The sequence below is a fragment of the Homo sapiens genome, chromosome 2, assembly GCF_000001405.40.
Source record: "Homo sapiens chromosome 2, GRCh38.p14 Primary Assembly".
In the NCBI taxonomy this organism is placed as follows: domain Eukaryota; kingdom Metazoa; phylum Chordata; class Mammalia; order Primates; family Hominidae; genus Homo; species Homo sapiens.
The window spans coordinates 65,351,775-65,369,100 of record NC_000002.12 but is presented as its reverse complement, the minus strand read 5'-3'; the positions used below and the strand labels follow the sequence as shown (position 1 = coordinate 65,369,100).

General features: G+C 40.9%; 1 protein-coding gene across 7 annotated transcripts in view, besides 2 other annotated features; it reads left to right on the top strand.

Moving 5' to 3' along the window:
* Nucleotides 1-17,326, top strand: part of SPRED2 (sprouty related EVH1 domain containing 2) — a 125,425-nt gene that overhangs the window by 63,499 nt on the left and 44,600 nt on the right. For 3 of the 7 annotated variants that reach the window (XM_047443712.1, XM_047443710.1, NM_001128210.2), the window contains exon 1: nt 2,323-2,511. The exons of the other annotated variants lie outside the window; for them this stretch is intronic. In XM_047443712.1, the coding sequence (XP_047299668.1) occupies nt 2,495-2,511 (17 nt within the window). In that variant the 5' untranslated portion in view covers nt 2,323-2,494. Of the gene's footprint in view, nt 1-2,322; nt 2,512-17,326 lie in introns of those variants that run through there. 7 annotated transcript variants of the gene reach the window in all.
* Nucleotides 10,892-11,041: an enhancer, noted in NCBI's record as "active region_15930". NCBI's record gives its function as "activates an Ori minimal core promoter by ATAC-STARR-seq in GM12878 lymphoblastoid cells {active_cell/tissue: GM12878}" and the evidence as "EXISTENCE:reporter gene assay evidence [ECO:0000049][PMID:35858748]".
* Nucleotides 11,074-11,575: an enhancer, noted in NCBI's record as "NANOG hESC enhancer chr2:65584660-65585161 (GRCh37/hg19 assembly coordinates)". NCBI's record gives its function as "activates a minimal SCP1, AML or CMV promoter by ChIP-STARR-seq in primed H9 embryonic stem cells {active_cell/tissue: H9 hESC(primed)}" and the evidence as "EXISTENCE:reporter gene assay evidence [ECO:0000049][PMID:30033119]".

The following is a 17,326-nucleotide window of genomic DNA, read 5'->3' as shown; positions in this document are numbered from 1 at the left end:
ATACTTAAAAAATCATTTTTTTTTGAGACATGGTCTTTTGCTCCATCACCCAGGCTGGAGTGCGGTGGTGCAAACATAGCTTACTGCAGCTTCAGCCTCCCAGGTTCAGGCTATCCTCCTGCCTCAGCTTTCTGTGTAGCTGGGACCACAGGCATGCACCACCATGCCCAGCTACTTTTTGTATTTTTTGTAGAGACAGGGTCTCACTTTGTTGCCCAGGCTGGTCTCCAGCCTCAAGCAGTCCTCCCACCTCAGCCTCCCAAAGTGTTGGGATTACGGGCATGAGCCACTGCACCCAATAATCTCTTTTTTAATTTTTTTAGGAATAGGGGTTATATATATTCATTCCTGTGTGTTTGTGAATGTTTAAGTTTATTTTGAAACAGTTCATAATTACAGAAATGTTGCAAGAACAGTATGAAGGACTCCCCTATTCTCATTTCCCCATTTGTTACCATTTTACTATCTTTGCCTTATTCTCATTGTTTGTGCATGTGTGCACACATTATTATTGCTATTATTTTTGTATTTTTCATTACTGAAATCTGAATTATAAAATTCTTCAATGAACTGTGAACTTATTTCTCCAAAATACTATAGAAACTCAAATTAGACTACAAGTTTATTAATTTCCCCCATTTCTACCTGCTGCATTAAGGTAAATTATGCTTTTCAAGTGTGTGAAAAGTTATAAAATTTCAAGGAAACATTTTGATAAGGCTGCAGCCTGCAGTCCTCGTGAGGAGGAAAGAATTGTCAAAGCCAAGGAAGTCTTCAGTTGAGGCCCATGCACAATCCTAATCAGTCTGGATTAGTGAGGTTGTAATTTGATGTTGGATGGGACTGTCCCAACCATTTGGAGCCAGTTTGAAGTCCTATTAGACAGGGTCCTTTAAGAATTAGAGTCAGCTGTTTGCTGAGGTGTGAACCTCAGCCTGAAACATGCTTCCATTTTTAAGTTTCAGGACTAAGGGGGCCATGCAGGAGCTCTGGGCTTTAGTGACCCCTCTATTTTGTTTCCTGTGGTGACTTGTCATGTTTTCACAGCGCATCAATATGGATAGTTTTTAAAGTGACAGCCAGTTTCAACAGTGGTTTTATTTCACATACATTGGAGCTTCCATATCTGGATTTTTTTTTTGTCAGCCACTAAATCAAAGCTCTTCCTCCTCCAGATGGTTTAAGACACCCAATTTGAACATTAAGTGAGTCAAGCAAACCCTGTGCCACATTACCAAAGGGCCTGCTGGTTTAAGAGACTATGGATGTGACTTACATAACCTCTCATGGAGCATTTCCAAAACCTTGTAAGGAAGCTGGGTATAGTCACCTCTCCTTCATAACGTTAACACTGAGCCATGAAGCCAGGGCTTGTGTCCTCAGAGAATGCATAAGGAAACAATCACCAGATCGCCCTGGGAGGAGAAGGCACTAGGCGTTTGTTCAGGAGGTTGATGCAACACTCACAACAGCCGCAGGATACATGTATCATACCTCCCAGCTGGAAGGCAGAAACAACTTCAAGTTCAGCTCCCACACTCACATGTGTGGTAGCTCTATACCTAACTAGAAAAGTGCCTTGTTTAGGTATAAATTAGATTGCAGGGACTGAAAAAAAAATTTTTTTTAATTTTTAAAAACATTTTATTATGAAAATTTTCAAAGATACTTCAAAAAAGAGAAATACAGTCAGCCTGCATATACGCACTACACAGATGCAACCATTTATCAAGATTTTGCCACATTTCTTTACCCCGTCCCTTATTTATTTTTTGCTAAAATATTCACAACAAACCCCAGATATCATATCATTTTACCCCTAACATACTTCAACATGCCTCTCTAAAAAAGTAGACATTTTATAAACACAATGCCACTATCCCACCTATAAAATTAATCCAGGACCAAAATTTTGATGTATACTTTTTACATAGCTTCTGCAGCTGGGTAACCTCACAGCACAAGAATCAACAAGTCCATGCCTACACGAATTCAGCTGATAACTTTAAAGAGAGGGATCCTTGCTCTCAACTTTGGACGAAATTCTTTGGTTTGGGGCTGGGGGCAGGTGAAGAATTTGCACTTGTGGTTCTCCAGAATGTAATCTCAGGTATTGAACTGTGCCATTTGCTTCCTGGGCATTTCATCCTTTCATCAATGATTGGTAATCATAACTTACAGGAATTTTTAAAACAATATTTTAATTGGAAAACGCATCTGTCAGCTGTCAGGCTTCCAGTTTCCACTTTTGAGAAGCAGGATGTTGAATGTGAGTAATGACACAACAGGCCTATAAAATGCGGACTAACCCTCGGATGACTCATCCGGTACAATGCAGTATATTTGTCAAGGAGACTGAATCATATATGGGGGAAACCACTTCTCAGGCAGCCAGCTGGTTCTCAGGTCAGCAAGAGACGATCCATTTTTATCGGAAGCTTTATAGTAGCAATAATGCTAATACCCAGCACTCGGGCTCCACAATGTAGAGGAAATGGCATCGCCTGGCAGGTACGTGCTTACTGTTTACATGAACTTTATTTTTTCATTGTTCTCTTATTCTTAACCTTTCTGGTGCCTGCTTTTAGCATTTTTTTAAAGGAGAAAATTTATCCTAGTTGTAGAGGACCACAGTGTGTATGTGTTTGTATTTGTGTGTGCCCACGTGCAAGGACAGATAGGTAACCTCTGGTCTGTTGATAGACACAGAGCTCTTAGCCTCTCATGCCTCTTTCTGAAAACAAATTTCTCCTTAGATATTCTGATAGAAATGTTTTGTTGTTGTTGTTGTTGTTTTTTATTATTAAGTCCTGAATCTAAAAGATGCTGCCTAGGAAACAGCTTGCAGAGATGGTATACCTCTTGGGTGGGTAGTGTAGAGCTTTAAAACAAATGAATAAGCAGAGGTGAGCTGAAGGAGGTGGTCTAACAATTACTATTGTGTTACGTTGGATTTCTTTCAGTACTGTGCTTTTTTCCTACCCCCATGATGCGTGACTTAATGCAAGAAAGCTTTATTCCCCTACGGAGTGAATAGGGTGGGTTTTGTTTGTTTGTTTGTTTGTTTGTTTTTATAAATCACAATTTGCTCATACTGAATTCATGCATTAACTTTTTCTAGGTGGGAGAAAGGGTAGTGGGGATTTGGTAGCAACATTTAATTATAGCGTTCACATGATCTGAAGGATCATTCTGCATAATTGGGAGGCTGTGTCTGCCTGTCTGACCCTCTCTCTTTCTTCACCCACTAAATTTAAACAATGTCTGACTAGTTAAAGCACATATCTTATTTATTTGAGTGTATTAAACATTCCTATGTGTGTTGACAGTCTATTCAGTGTCTCCTCATATTTTAAAAAAATACTTTGTGAGTCTTGCTTGTTAGGGACAGATGCTATAGTTAGTTTATAGCAGTACTATTTATGCTTTCCTGGTCTGTCTGTCCAGAATGGCTAGGTCAGGACCTATAACACAACTGCCCACAAATTTGCCTAAGATTTAGCATTTGTGGAGCAGCCCAGTGTATAGCAGTAAATCCTGTTATCACTCAGAGAGCATTAAACAGATCTGGGGTTACCAAGCTGGAAAAATCGGCAATCTTTGTTTCTCTTCCCCTTTCTTATAAAATCCATAATAATGACTTGTTTTCCTTGAAGTGTATGAATTTTAAGCTGTCAGTAAATGCATTCAATTTACTTAACTACATTCAGAAATTCCTATAATTTGGAAAACCAGCATGAAGGGAGTTTGTTTCTGTTTGTTTTGTAGATTAAGGGGTGTACTTTTTATAGAATGGCCAATTTGTTTTTGGAGACAAGACCATCTCTAAATTTCATTAATTTTGCATTCTATAAATGAAAGCCACCTGTTATGCTGTAACGTGCTAATTATGGTAGAGGACAATAATGAAGAAGAACAGTATTTGAAATATGTGGGGGTTTTGCTAAGAATTTTCATGCCCACATCTGTAGTGCTTATTTTTATGTGTGTATACATGCATATATAGTACACATTTAATAATAGCACTTGGTGACATTAAAAAATACTTCAGATTCAAAGTGAGGGCCATTTTTTATTAACAACATTTTTTTAAGTTGTGAAAGAAAGGCTACTTTAAAAGTGTTAGCTTGAACTAAGACCCATATTTTGCCATCTTATAGTAAACGGGGTTTTTTCTTATAGTTTTGGTGAATGCCACACTCAACTTAGGGTTCACTTTATCAAATTCATTAGAAAAATATACATTAATTTTGTTTTATTTTAAAGACAGAATAACTAATTTCCTGTGCTTTCACGGAAACATTAGGTTTCATGGTAGCATTTTTTTTTTCCTTGAGGCCTATGGTAAATGATTATAGTCAGGGATAAAAAAAACATTTATTTTAAAGTTCTTGATTTAGTGACACTTTCTGTGTCTTGTTTTTCTGTGATTTGTATAGTTGGGACTCGCTCAGGTCCTGTCCACATTCTTTCCAGAGCACCATATTCTGTTAGCTTTGGTTACAGTACACAGAGGGTATACTGACCATTGAAATTGGACAATGATAATCACTCCTAGGGTTGTGGCTGCCACGCCTCAGAGGCCCCTTTGCTGTTAAGCACTGTGAGCCATCAGTCCAAAGGAACCACGTGGTTTTTAGATGCCTTCTTTCCCTTTTGAGGGAAAAGGAATACAGAGCCATGGCCAGTTCCAAAGGTCTCATATCATTCAACTTGGAAGCAATCAATAGATATTGAGTGAGACGCTGCCTATGTTCAGAGCAATGTGCTGGGGAGTGTTACATTTAAAAGTGTTTCAAATCTGAGCCCAGTCCGGTTCTTCTCTTAATTCCCGCCCTAGTGGGGATTCATTGTTATTGGAGATAAATTCCTCCCTGGGTTTTCTTTTATTCATAGATTTACTGGAGTCTACAATCCAGAGCCACTCATTGCTATTGTGTATAAGCAGCTTTGAGCTATTCCTTTTTGGTTCTTCAAAACCTAACTCTGCTTGGATGGAAATCAAGAAAGAACTGCTCTACTCAAAAATCCATTTGATAGTTTTGGTGGCCATGTCTTCTGAGCCAAGTAGAGTGACATAACCTTGGAAAAAAGATTTTTGTTTTTCCTTTTTCTTGGGGAGAGTGAGAGTCAGGGAGAGCATTTGAATCCTGAAAGGTTAAGAGTGTCCAAGATATTTTAGTGGAACAATTTTTCCCAATCTTTGCTGGCTTGCAGATTTTTAGCACTTACTAAAATTATATTCTAAAGACTCAAAGCTATTACGAATTCAATAAACATTTTATAAAAACAGGTTTATGTAAAATTAGTATAGATCACCTACCAACATTTAAACATCCTTATTTGTATTTGGAGGGAGACCTGTTTGTTACAGAGTCTGCAGTCTGTCCTTGCTGTCCGGATGTGTGGTTTATGGATGTGTGGTCATGATGATCACTGCCTCAGGAGGCTTGGCCTGTCTATCGCCTGCTGTCCATTGCTCACTGTCTGCTGTGATATTGTCCTCCCCACATCTGGAGTTTATGGTCATTCTGCCATACTGGGTGGGATTAATAACACTTGTAGGTAAATCTTATATCATTATCTAGAAATAGCAACATTCCTGTGTAGCTCAGAAAAGCCAGAGACAAGCGTGGATCAGCCTTCTAACGACATAAACTCCTAAATGTACAAATGGGATGAATGATCACCCTCTTATCAAACCAGCATGGACTTCTGTGAACCCTGAACATTCTTCCGGGTACATGTTTGCTGACAGCTTGTTGCGTCAACTGCACCTGGATTGTCTTGAGCTATATGTGGCATAGTTGTGGAAACCGTGCGCATTCCCAGTTGGAATTTTTTTTTTTTTTTTTTTTTTTGAGACGGAGTTTTGCTCTTATTGCCCAGGGTGGAGTGCAATGGCACAATCTCGGCTCACTGCAACCTACGCCTCCCAAGTTCAAGTGATTCTCCTGCCTCAGCCTCCGAGTAGCTGGGATTACAGGCATGTGCCACCACACCCAGCTAATTTTATATTTTTAGTAGAGACAGGTTTTCTCCACTTTGGTCAGACTGGTCTCAAACCTTTCAAAAAAAAAAAAAAAAAAAAAAAACAAAACATGATGACCATAGAGAAAGCAAGTGCTGCAGAAGCAGGCTGGCCTGCTCGCCCGCCTCGGCCTCCCAAAGTGCTGGGTTTACAGGCATGAGCCACCGTGCCCAGCCGTTTTTTTCTTTTCTTTTCTTTTCTTTTTTTTTTTGAAATGGAGTTTCACTCTTGTTGCCCAGGCTGGAGTGCAATGGCATGATCTTGGCTCACTGCAACCTTCACCTCCCTGGTTCAAGCGATTCTCCTGCCTCAGCCTCCCAAGTAGCTAGGATTACAGACATGCACCACCACGCCTGGCTAATTTTGTATTTTTGGTAGAGATGGAGTTTCACCATGATGGCCAGGCTGGTCTCGAACCCCTGACCTCAGGTTATCCACCCACCTTGGCCTCCCAACCCAGTTGGATTCTTATTTGCCAAGGTTTCTTCATAACAGGTGACGGCCGGGCGCAGTGGCTTACGCCTGTAATCCCAACACTTTGGGAGGCTGAGGTGGGTGGATCACCAGGTCAGGAGATCGAGACCATCCTGGCTAACACAGTGAAATCCCATCTCTACTAAAAATACAAAACAATTAGCTGGGCGTGGTGTCGGGCGCCTGTAGTTGCAGCTACTGGGGAGGCTGAGGCAGGAGAATGGCGTGAACCCGGGAGGCGGAGCTTGCAGTGAGCCCAGATCGCGCCACTGCACTCCAGCCTGGGCGACAGAGTGAGACTCCATCTCAAAAAAAACAAAAACAAAAAAAAACAGATGATGACCATAGAGAAAGCAAGTGCTGCAGAAGCAGGCTGGCACTTCAGCCCTCTTAGAGCTTTTGGCTTGGGATGAGAGTGATACCTTCTTTGCTGCACATCTGAGAGCAGCTCAGACAGTTAGCTGCATCATCTTCATAGAGTTCAGTGTATAAGAACTACAGCAAGATTACTATCTCTTTCTTGATTTCAATCGAAGAGATGACTTCATTCATTCATTTGTAAAGATTCTTCAGATTGGAGATGTCCAAGCTAGATTTGGCTTTTTTTGTTGTTGTTGTTTTCTTTTAAACACATGTTCCCTGTACCCATCCAGTGGAGGAGATGGGTTGCCTGTTGTTGCCCTGGCCCTGTGGGGCTCTGCTGTTTGACTGGGCCTCTTGAATTCCATTAAATGAAGCACAGACAGCATGTGTCATAAAGGCTGCTTGGGAGGGGTGAAGAGCAAAATTAGTGTCTGTGGGTGGGCATGTGTTCTCATCACGTCGCCAGAGAACTGCAATGTGCAAAATCTGGCTGGAACCTGTTCCAAAGAAAAATAAAACAGCCCCTTTTTCCCTGCTTTGAGTAATATTAAAAAACATCGCTTAACCCCCATGTAGAAGAAATGGAACTGTCAGGAAATTCTTGTGATTATGTGTGTGTGTTTAATAATCTGTGTGTTTAATCTTTACAACTGAGGTTAGAATACAAGAGATGAAAAGGGACTAATCATGAAAAATATTTTGGTGTATTCTGTTGCTGGTGTTGTAGACATTGTAAGTGTTCTTTCTATTAAAGTAGAACTGCCTAAGGATTAGAGGAATTTGTCAGAGCTAACAATTCAGGGAAAATCTATTTTGTTTAACTTTCTTCTGTTCTTCTTTGAAATGATTTTGTAAGAAAAGCCATTTTTGTCTCAGTAAAACCAGTACCAAAGGAAATGTTTGTGTTTTTCTTATATATGATTCACCTGGTACCCCAAGGAACAAAGCAAAGCCAACATTTACACTTACATTTGAAGCATAAGATCTTCCTTTTATAGTTTTCTTGAGAAGGTCTTGCATATTTATTAATTGCTCCTCATAGTATAGAAGAATGCTTTTTAAGGGAGGGTTGTGATGTATGTAGTTTGCATAATGGGGACATATGTTACTTTTGTAATTAGGGGAAAGTTAACTTTTTAAATAGTGTTAATGTTTACTCCTTTTTTCTTTTAAAAGAATTTTTTAATAAAAATAGAGATGAGGTCCCACATTGTTGCACAGGCTGGTCTCAAACTCCTGGGCTTAAGCAATCCTCCTGCTTTGGCCTCCCAAAGTGAATGTTTACTTCTTAAGGACTGCAGAAATGCTCCTAAGCTAAACCCAACATTTCTAAATTTGGGGTTCTTTACCTATTTCAAGTAGCCTCTCTTTGTTTCACAGTTTATCTTTTTTTATTGTGGTAAAAAACACATAACATAGCGTATATCATCTTAACCATTTGTAAGTGAACAGTACAGTAGTGTTAACTATATCCAAGTTTGTATAATAGATCTCTAGAACGTTTTCATCATCCAAAACTGAAACTCTTTCCCAATTAAACAACTCACTCCCCTCCCCAGCCCCCCGCCTCTGGCAACCACTGTTCTCCTTTTTGTTTCTAGGACTTTGACTAGTCACATTTAGATAGCTGGTGTAAGCGGAACAAATCATGCAGTATTTCTTTTTGTGACTGACGTTTCACTTAGCACAATATCCTCAAGATTCATCCATGTTATAGCATATGACAATGTTTCCTTCTTTGTTAAGGCGGAATAATTCCATTGTATGTATGGACCACAGGTGTTAAGGTTAATTCGCTATATGCGAACACACAAGAAAAAGTTAACACAAGAGCTTCCATATATGCCAGCAACTCACTGCTGGGTGTGCGGCAGTTTTCAGGGGATGGCATATCCAGGATGCTTTCAGTGACTGTGACTTTCCTGGAGAATGAAACTGTGTGAAGTTAGTCCTGAGAAGTGGCTGAAGCACACCAGTGAGTGAAATGAGCAGAGAGTTGTTCCTTTTGACCAACATTAAGTCGAGGGCCCTTCCACCTGTCAGTAAAGCTCTCTGGTGGAAGAAGTTGGCAGTAGCCACTTGGTTGTCCTGTCTTGAGCAGTGGTCTTTTGGTCTTTGTTTTTTTTTTTTTTGTTTTTTTTTTGTTTTTTTTTGTTTTTTTTTTTTTTGAGATGGAGTCTCGCTCTGTCGCCCAGGTTGGAGTGCAGTGACGCGACCTTGGCTCACTGCAACCTCCGCCTCCGGGGTTCTAGCGATTCTCCTGCCCCAGGCTCCCGAGTAGCTGGGACTACAGGCACACAGAACCACACCAGGCTGAGTTTTGTACTTTTAGTAGAGACGGAGTTTCACCATGTTTGCCAGGCTGGTCTTAAACTCCTGACCTCAGGTAATCCACCCTCCTTGGCCTCCCAAAGTGCTGGGATTACAGGCATGAGCCACCGCACCTGGCCCAATTTTTTGCATTTTTGGTAGAGACGGGGCTTCACCGTGTTAGGCAGGATGGTCTGGATCTCCTGACCTCATGATCCACCCGCCTCAGCCTCCCACAGTGCTGGGATTACAAGCGTGAGTCACTGCGCCCAGCCAGCAGTGGTCTTTAACCACCACAGACTGCATGACTTAAAGCTTGGTTGGGCTCCCTGCTGCAAACATGTTGGTGATGGCCAGGAAAGCCCAACTTCAGCAGCTTAGCCACGCAGGGTTTCAGTTATCTGTGAAAATCATGAGTCTTGAAAAAAAATGCCTTCTAGTGCCTCCACAAGCTAGTTGGCTTTGGGAGGTGGAGATAGCTCTAGTATTTCCTGGAGTTCTTTCTGAATCAAGTACTTCAAACTACACTACTCCCTTATAAATGAAAAAATATTTTAAGACTAACGTGTTAAAACTGAGGAAGCTTGGTAGCTAGTTGGCCTTTACATTATCCTTGCTGCCTAGTTCTTTTATGTCAGGAAAGTAACATGGGAAATATGTGTACTGAGTGGATGGCTCTGTCTTGTTATAACTCGGAAGGAAATTGCGCTTGTAGGACAAATCCTGTCCCTCTGTGTAGTCAACTAGTCAAGAATCCATTGCATCATGACTATATCCTATGAGCCTGACACTTGACTTAATTGCTCACCAACAGTCATTGTGACCCTAAAAGGAAAGAATTTCCCCAGTAACACTTAAGTTGGGATTTGTAAAATAACATCAGTACGGATCCTTTTAGAGCCATTCAAGATTCAGTGGTGCCACATTCTGAGGATCCCCAAAATGAAGCCTAAATCAGAAGTTTAAGAAGAATTCCTCCTCCTTACCTTTTCTCCCTCACCCCACCCCCAGATAGGAAAGCCCTTGGCCAAAACCCAGCAAGAGCTGAGAGGAACTGGCCTTTCTGGCAGTGGGGAAAGAGGCTTCTTGTCAAGGAGACTGTCAGTAAGCAGTTGAAACATTTGGGAATATTTTTCCACGTTGATTGGGCTTTCGTGGGCTGGATTGGGAACCCAGTTGCCCACCATTTTATGTTTTTTCTGTAGGGAAGATACATTCCAATTTCAAACAACTGACTTACGTTTGGACCAGAAATTATTTGTCACATTGAAGCAACTTAAACCTAAGTTGCAACTTGATGTGCACTGAGCTGCTTTAGCAGAGGTCTATAAGAAATGTCTTTCCCTATTTTTAAGCTAAATAATTGCTTTGTTACCTTTTCCTAACATTTTCTCCTTTTCACTCTGAATGTAGTAAAGATTGGGGCTGGGGAGTTCATGTTGAGTCAACTGATAAGGCAGATAGAATCAACTGTTTGGGAGAAAAAGGGTAGATCTCTCTTCTCTTCTTGGCCTGCATTTGTTCCATAAATATGTCATGGGGTTTTTCTTCCATGTGGCTAAAGAGAATCTCACATTTGTGGATGCGTAAACCCAGCTAGATGACCAGGTTGTACCTTTTATTTTCCCCCAGAGGATCTTATTAAACTTATTAAAACTCAATTTTCATCATTTTCTTGCTTTTTCAAAATACTTGGATAAACCAGTTTCACTCCTGGAAACTTCATAATTGTGTCATAACACTGGCACTGAGAGAACATATCTGTTAGTCTGTCATGGTTTCAGGTCTTTGTGGTTTCAAGTTTTTTCTCTACTCAAAGTATACTCTCAGTTGCATTTTACTGCTGAAAGTTTTCTGATCTGCTTTTGTAGGGTATTTTAGTGGCTTAAGTTTGCTAAGCCCTCTGCCACAACTACAGGACTTTAAGGCCATTTTTTTAAAACACAAAGCATGAAAAGGGATCAAAGTTGAAAGGGTCTCAAAAGTCATTTGTGGTCTCTACCCCTCATTTTACACATAAGGAAACTGAAGCTCAGTAATAAGAGTTTGGGGTGCCTCACCCGGTTGTGAGAAGATGTGTAATGGAGGTTAGGTCAGGTTAGGTCACCTGTCCTGACTTACGGCACTCATTACAACAGATCCAAAAAGGAATTACCTCTATTGGTGTGAAACTTCAGCAGGATGAGTAGGATCACCCTCTAGCTCTGTGATTTTTTCATGTAGCTGTGTTGCCAGTGTTACCTCTTCATTTCTCCTTAGAATTCCTTTCACAATCAGTTGCCTATCCAGTAAATTTCAAGGGACCAAGATAAGGAATAACTTATCCTCCAGAGCACCTAACTTGAATATGCGCACTTCTGCCACCACACGAGGTCCTTTCAAAAGTGTGATCGGGGGTTGTCACAGAGACTGATCTTAGTCCTTTATCTGTCCCTAATGTCAGTGACCTTGAACAAGTCCCTTCTGCAGTCTGGATTTTAATTTTTCCACGTGAGAGAGGAGTCTAGCATAGACGGTTTCCACAGTTCTTTGTATGAATAGCTTAAGAGGTGGAACTAATGTGAAGACCTGAACTCTGCCTTCGGGCTGACCTCTATACCACTCTCCAGGAGGGAAGTGAAGCCGTCCAGCATGCTTCAGGGAGAACAGGTGCCTTGACTGTGTGTTGTTTGTTTATCTGTGTGTTTAGCTCTCCATCTCTAATGAGGGAGGTGGCAGAATCCTAGAAAAAAAGGAACTAAATGCATTAGTAATTCTTGCCATCTGAGAGGGCATCCATTTCTAGTGGACCTGTGGGAATATAAACAGGCTCTTAAAAATCCTGTCAGCTTATTGCTAGCATGATCTGCTGATTTTCCTCCCTCCTCTATAGGTTAAATTATCACCTTCTTTTGTTTGAGAGCAGGTTTTTTGTTTTGTTTTGTGTTTTGAGACAGAGACTCATTCTGTTGCCCAGGCTGGAGTGCAGTAGCGTGATCTTAGCTCACTTCTAACTCCGCTTCTCGGGTTCAAGCGATTCTCCTGCCTCAGCCTCCCAAGTAGCTGGGATTACAGGTGCCCGCCATCACACCCAGCTAATTTTTGTATTTTTTTAGTAGAGACGGGGTTTCACCATGTTGGCCAGGTTGGTCTGGAACTCCTGACCTCAGGTGATCTGCCCACTTCAACCTCCCAAAATGCTGGGATAACAGGCATGAACCACCGCGCCCGGCCAGAGAACAGGTCTTATTAAGGGCTGGCTTGTAAAGGATTTTGTAGGTTTAGAATTTGGTATTAACATAGTTTGGTAGAGTCATTTCCTGACCTTCTTATTAGGTTTTCTTTGGGGTAGAGGGCAGGTGGTAGATAGCAGGTACACACACACAAAAAAAAAAAAAAAAAAAAAAGAGGGAACTGGGGAACTGCACTCTAAATAGCAGAAAGAAAAGTAATCAGATTCTGTTTAGTACCATTATCAGCATCTTGTAGATTTAGTGTTGATTTCCATTTAGAAATCAACCATAACACTACAAATCTCTCACTCTCCCAATATTTATGATTTTCAGGTGTTCAGAAAAGTTGAAAGAAGTGTATGCTCAACATCCATATGCCTACCACCTCAAGTCTGCAATTAGCATTTTGCTATTATTGTTTTATCATACACATATCTATCCATCTATCTCCATCCATGATTCCATGTTTTTTTAAATGCATTTCAAAGTAGGTTGCAAATATCATGGCATTTCTTCCTAGACATTTCAACGGGTGGGTTATTACATACTCCCTTCCTTTGTTTTCTCCAATAATGTGAAAGAAAGCAAAAATATTCTGAGAAAGTCAGGCATAGGAGTTCAAGGGCTGCAATTTAAAGCCCTAAATTGGAGATTATTAACTTTAAACAACTCCTCTTTGCCATTTGTTTTTTGAAGTACCAATTTTTCTATTACATGTACACTTTAATGTGGTGAGAGTTAATTTTGTTTAGTAATCTGACATTTCCATTAGCTGGCCTTTGGGGTTTAAATGTGGATCACAAATACCATTTTTGGAAGGGTGTGTAAAACAGAGGGAAAGTCAGAAAATTACTGCTTCTGGAATAAAAAGTAGAAGAAACGTTTCTTCGGGATGGGTTATTTTGTTTGCTTTAAGATGGTAATCTTTTGATCTTGATTAATTATGAACTCCAGAAGTTCAGGCTCAACTCAGTAAAGCAGACAGACAATAAAAGCAAAATCATAAACCTAGATTCAGACTTTGGCCTCTCAACTCCCAGTACTCCCTCACTGCAACCTCTGCCCCCTAGGTTCAAGCGATTCTTGAACCTCAGCCTCCTGAGTAGCTGGGTTTACAGGTGTCCACCACCATGCCCGGCTACTTTTTTGTATTTTTGATGGAGACGAGCTTTCTCCATGTTAGCCAGGCTAGTCTCAAACTCCTGACCTTGGGTGATCCACCTGCCTCGTCCCCCCAAAGTGCTAGGATTACAAACATGAGCAACCACACTTGGCCATAAATTTTATTTTTTAAAGTAGTTTACTCATGTCAGAGCCATTCGTGTTTTCGTGGTTTTTGAAAAAAACTCAGAACTACCTCTGACACATGCCTTGAATGTCAACAATCTTTCACAGTAAAATCTTCCCATAATTTCCTAAATTAATTGTAGAGCCTTCTTTAAGGTGATTTATCTGCTGCACAGATACGTGACTGATACAGAGGCCCCTAACTGGTTGACTAGGAAACCCACCAAGGATTTAAGAGGCATATGCCCAGGAGTCTCCAGTTCCCTGGTCCCCCAGGATGAGAAAATTAGGATTTCTGCTATTAGTAAGGATTAGAGCAAAGAGTTTTCAAACTTCAAGAAAAAGTTGTTCCATTCTTCGCTGATTATAATCTAATTACTAAACTACCATGCCTGTCCTGCCAGTCCCCCCAGGCCTGACCTCAGCCCTCTGCTGGGCTTTCCTTCTCCTGGGCCAGGTGCATTACTCACCTCAAGAGGTACTTGCACAAGAAGAACATATTGACAAGAGAAAATTGCCCAGGAGCCATTTTTTAAAAATCTGTCTTAGACATTACTTCTAAAATTGGCTGCCTGTGTGCTGAAGCTAAGATTTACTTCAGCGAACACTTCGTTGCCCATGTTTAAAACTGCCCCATGTTAGGGTTTTAGGTTGAACAACCTTAACCTTTATTGTGTCCCAATTACACGTGGTCTGTCATCTTGTATATATTTAGTATTCTTGTGGTTTATAAATTTGAGTACTGAATTAAAATGCTGAAAAGATTTAAAAAAAAAAACCAACAAATATAGTGGTATCCTTAAGACATTTTTGATAGATTAAATAAGTATTGATAAAATCAAAAAGTTTCTATTAAGATTTTTTTTTTTTTCATGAGAGCACTGTAGATAGAATCTAGCCAAATCACTCTTTTCCTGTGCAGGATTTATACGTGTTCAAGCTACAGGAGATAAACACTTAGAGGTGAAATTTAAAATTGCGTTTAAACACAGTACAATGCAGTGAGTCTAATGTAACTTTGTCAACCTTGCTGAAATGGAAACCAGAAAACCAGCATTTTATGAGGTAACTTCCAGTGTGCCTGGGCATTGCTAATGCCGTGGGTATCACCACCTTCTATTTACAGTCCATATAGATTTGCCGCTAAAATTGGGGCTTTCTCTGAGAAGATGATGGGGGCACTAGAAGCTCCAACTTCCATCTGCCACAGTAGGTTTTTCAAGCTTACCAGAACTGTCACTCAGGGCTCCCAGGCTCGGGGGATGTCAGAGGATCCCTAATTGCCTGCCGGTATTTTCCCAACTACTTCCTCAAAGGCTCCTAAGCCTCTGTAAAGCTTACGTGTTTAACTTCCAGCTCTGATCTTTGTTCCTTTGTGTCTTTGCTTCATTTCCTTTTTTTTGGCCCTTGTGGGTCACAGGACACAGCAGGAAAGAAAGGAGGCCAGACTGGTGCATGGCACACTGCCTTGTACCCTTGACTAAGGACAGCTGGGCAGAGCATCCATTCCACTCCCAAGGATGTCTGCAAGGCAGGTGCAAGATAATGTGCCAGAATGTGCAGTATACATGCTGCTCTGGCTCTAGTGACCTGGAGGTGTAAGGTAGCACTCAGCGATGGGGAAATATTTATATTTAAATTAGGATTTAACATCAGTGATAAGTTAAATCTATATTATCTAAATATTAAATCTATAATATTTTCCTTTAAACTGAGGTTTAAAGGAAAGTATAGAGGCACATAGAATGCTAAATCAGCACTGTATGTTAAACAAGGTATGGGCATATATTTCGAACCAAAATTGCTCACTTATAAAAATAGGGATTCACAGCTTATTTTTAAAGGAGTATTTCTGTATTAAAATTTCAATAGGAAAACTAAAATACTAGAGGTCCAAGTCTAGCAAACTTTGACTTGTTAATACTGGTTCTGAAGAATGATTGATAAATTATTAAGTTTAATAATCATTTATATGCTGACCAGTGTCTTCCATGATAATGGAGGAAACGGCCTCTTTTAATATGTGCACTGGAAAATAGTGTGTGGGTGAGAGGTTTATTTATATGCTTCAGTGTAGCTAGGTAGCATGAACAACAAAGATGCTCGGCTTATCCAAGGCATGAGGAGGGACATGCCCCTTACCTCCCTCTTTGGGAGAGGGTAGAACTTGGACACAGAGGGCGCTAGTGACCTTGCAGGACAGCAGTACTTACTGGCTTTACTCATAGATTCTGAGCCCAACAGAGTGAAGGAAAACCTATTTATACCCCCTCTGAGGCTCCTGCACATAAGCAGGACCCCTGGCTTTTAGCTTAATTGGTTCCTGGATGAAGGTCATATCCCCAGTCATTGTAAAGCAAAGACTACCACCGCCACCTCCTACACACACCTTTTAGGTACCGTGTTTTGTATAAGGGTTCTATTCCTAAAACTCATTCCATACCATTTAAAAAATACATAAATTGATAATGAAGATAACATATTTTTAAAAATCAAAGCTGGCTGGGCCTGGTGGCTCACGCCTGTAATCCCAGCACTTTGGGATGCTGAGGCAGGTGGATCATTTGAGGCCAGGAGTTTGAGACCAGCCTGGTCAACATGCTGAAACCCCGTCTCAACTAAAAATACAAAAATTAGCTGGGCGTGTTGGAGCACGCCTGTAATCCCAGCTACTCGAGAGGCTGAGGCAGGAGAATTGCTCAAATCTGGGAGGCAGAGGTTGCAGTGAGCTGAGATCGCGCCACTGCACTCCAGCCTGGATGACAAGGGTGAAACTCCGTCTCAAAAACAAAACAACAAAAAACCAAAGCTATGTTGTAGTCCTCTAAGGGTAGGGGTTACTCTGCACGAGCAAGATTAGCTACAGCACCTCAGAAAAGCAGGGACACAGTGAAGACTGGACGGAAGAGCCTGTTTTCTCCTCTTGATAAACATAGAGCATAGTGCCCTGGCACTGTGAGCTCACAGGAAAGTGTTAGTCCCTGTTTAAGTACACGGGTTCTTTTACTAGTACTCTCCATTGAGTGTATTTGTTGGCTGATTTCACTGATGTTAAATAACTGTGGAGAAGCCTGTTGTTAAGTGATCTTAGCCCACTTTTCACCTTCTGTACATCTTACATCATGCAAACTGGTTCTCTTTATGAAACAAACGTTTAATGATCAGAAAATCTCTTCTCTGCCTCACAGTGCCTGCTCATCCATGTTTGAGAGAAGAGCTGATGGCCTTTGCCAGAATTGGCTACTGCCAGATCTGGCATCTTTGCGATCGAGTCTTTCTACTGTGGGCATTTATGAGCTTTCGTTAACACTGTTTTCTGTAATGGCCTACCCTAACCACACAAACAGTACATATTTTGGTGGTTAACACAAAGGCCTTATTTTCTGGGACATTATAGCGTGTAGAGCAAGTGTTCTACCTTCAGGGGCTTGTACAGAGCAGAAAATCATGTTACCACCATGCATAAAATTACGTTATGTTAACTTTCCTTGCCCATAAAGTTCAGAATATATAAACTTCCAAAACCAGGGCAGTCCGCTTTTAAAAAATTCTTGAGTAGTTGATACTTAAGACGAACACCCACAAAACCACCACCCGACTTAACAAATAGAAAGTATGACCAGTACCCTCAGCTTCTCAACACATTTGA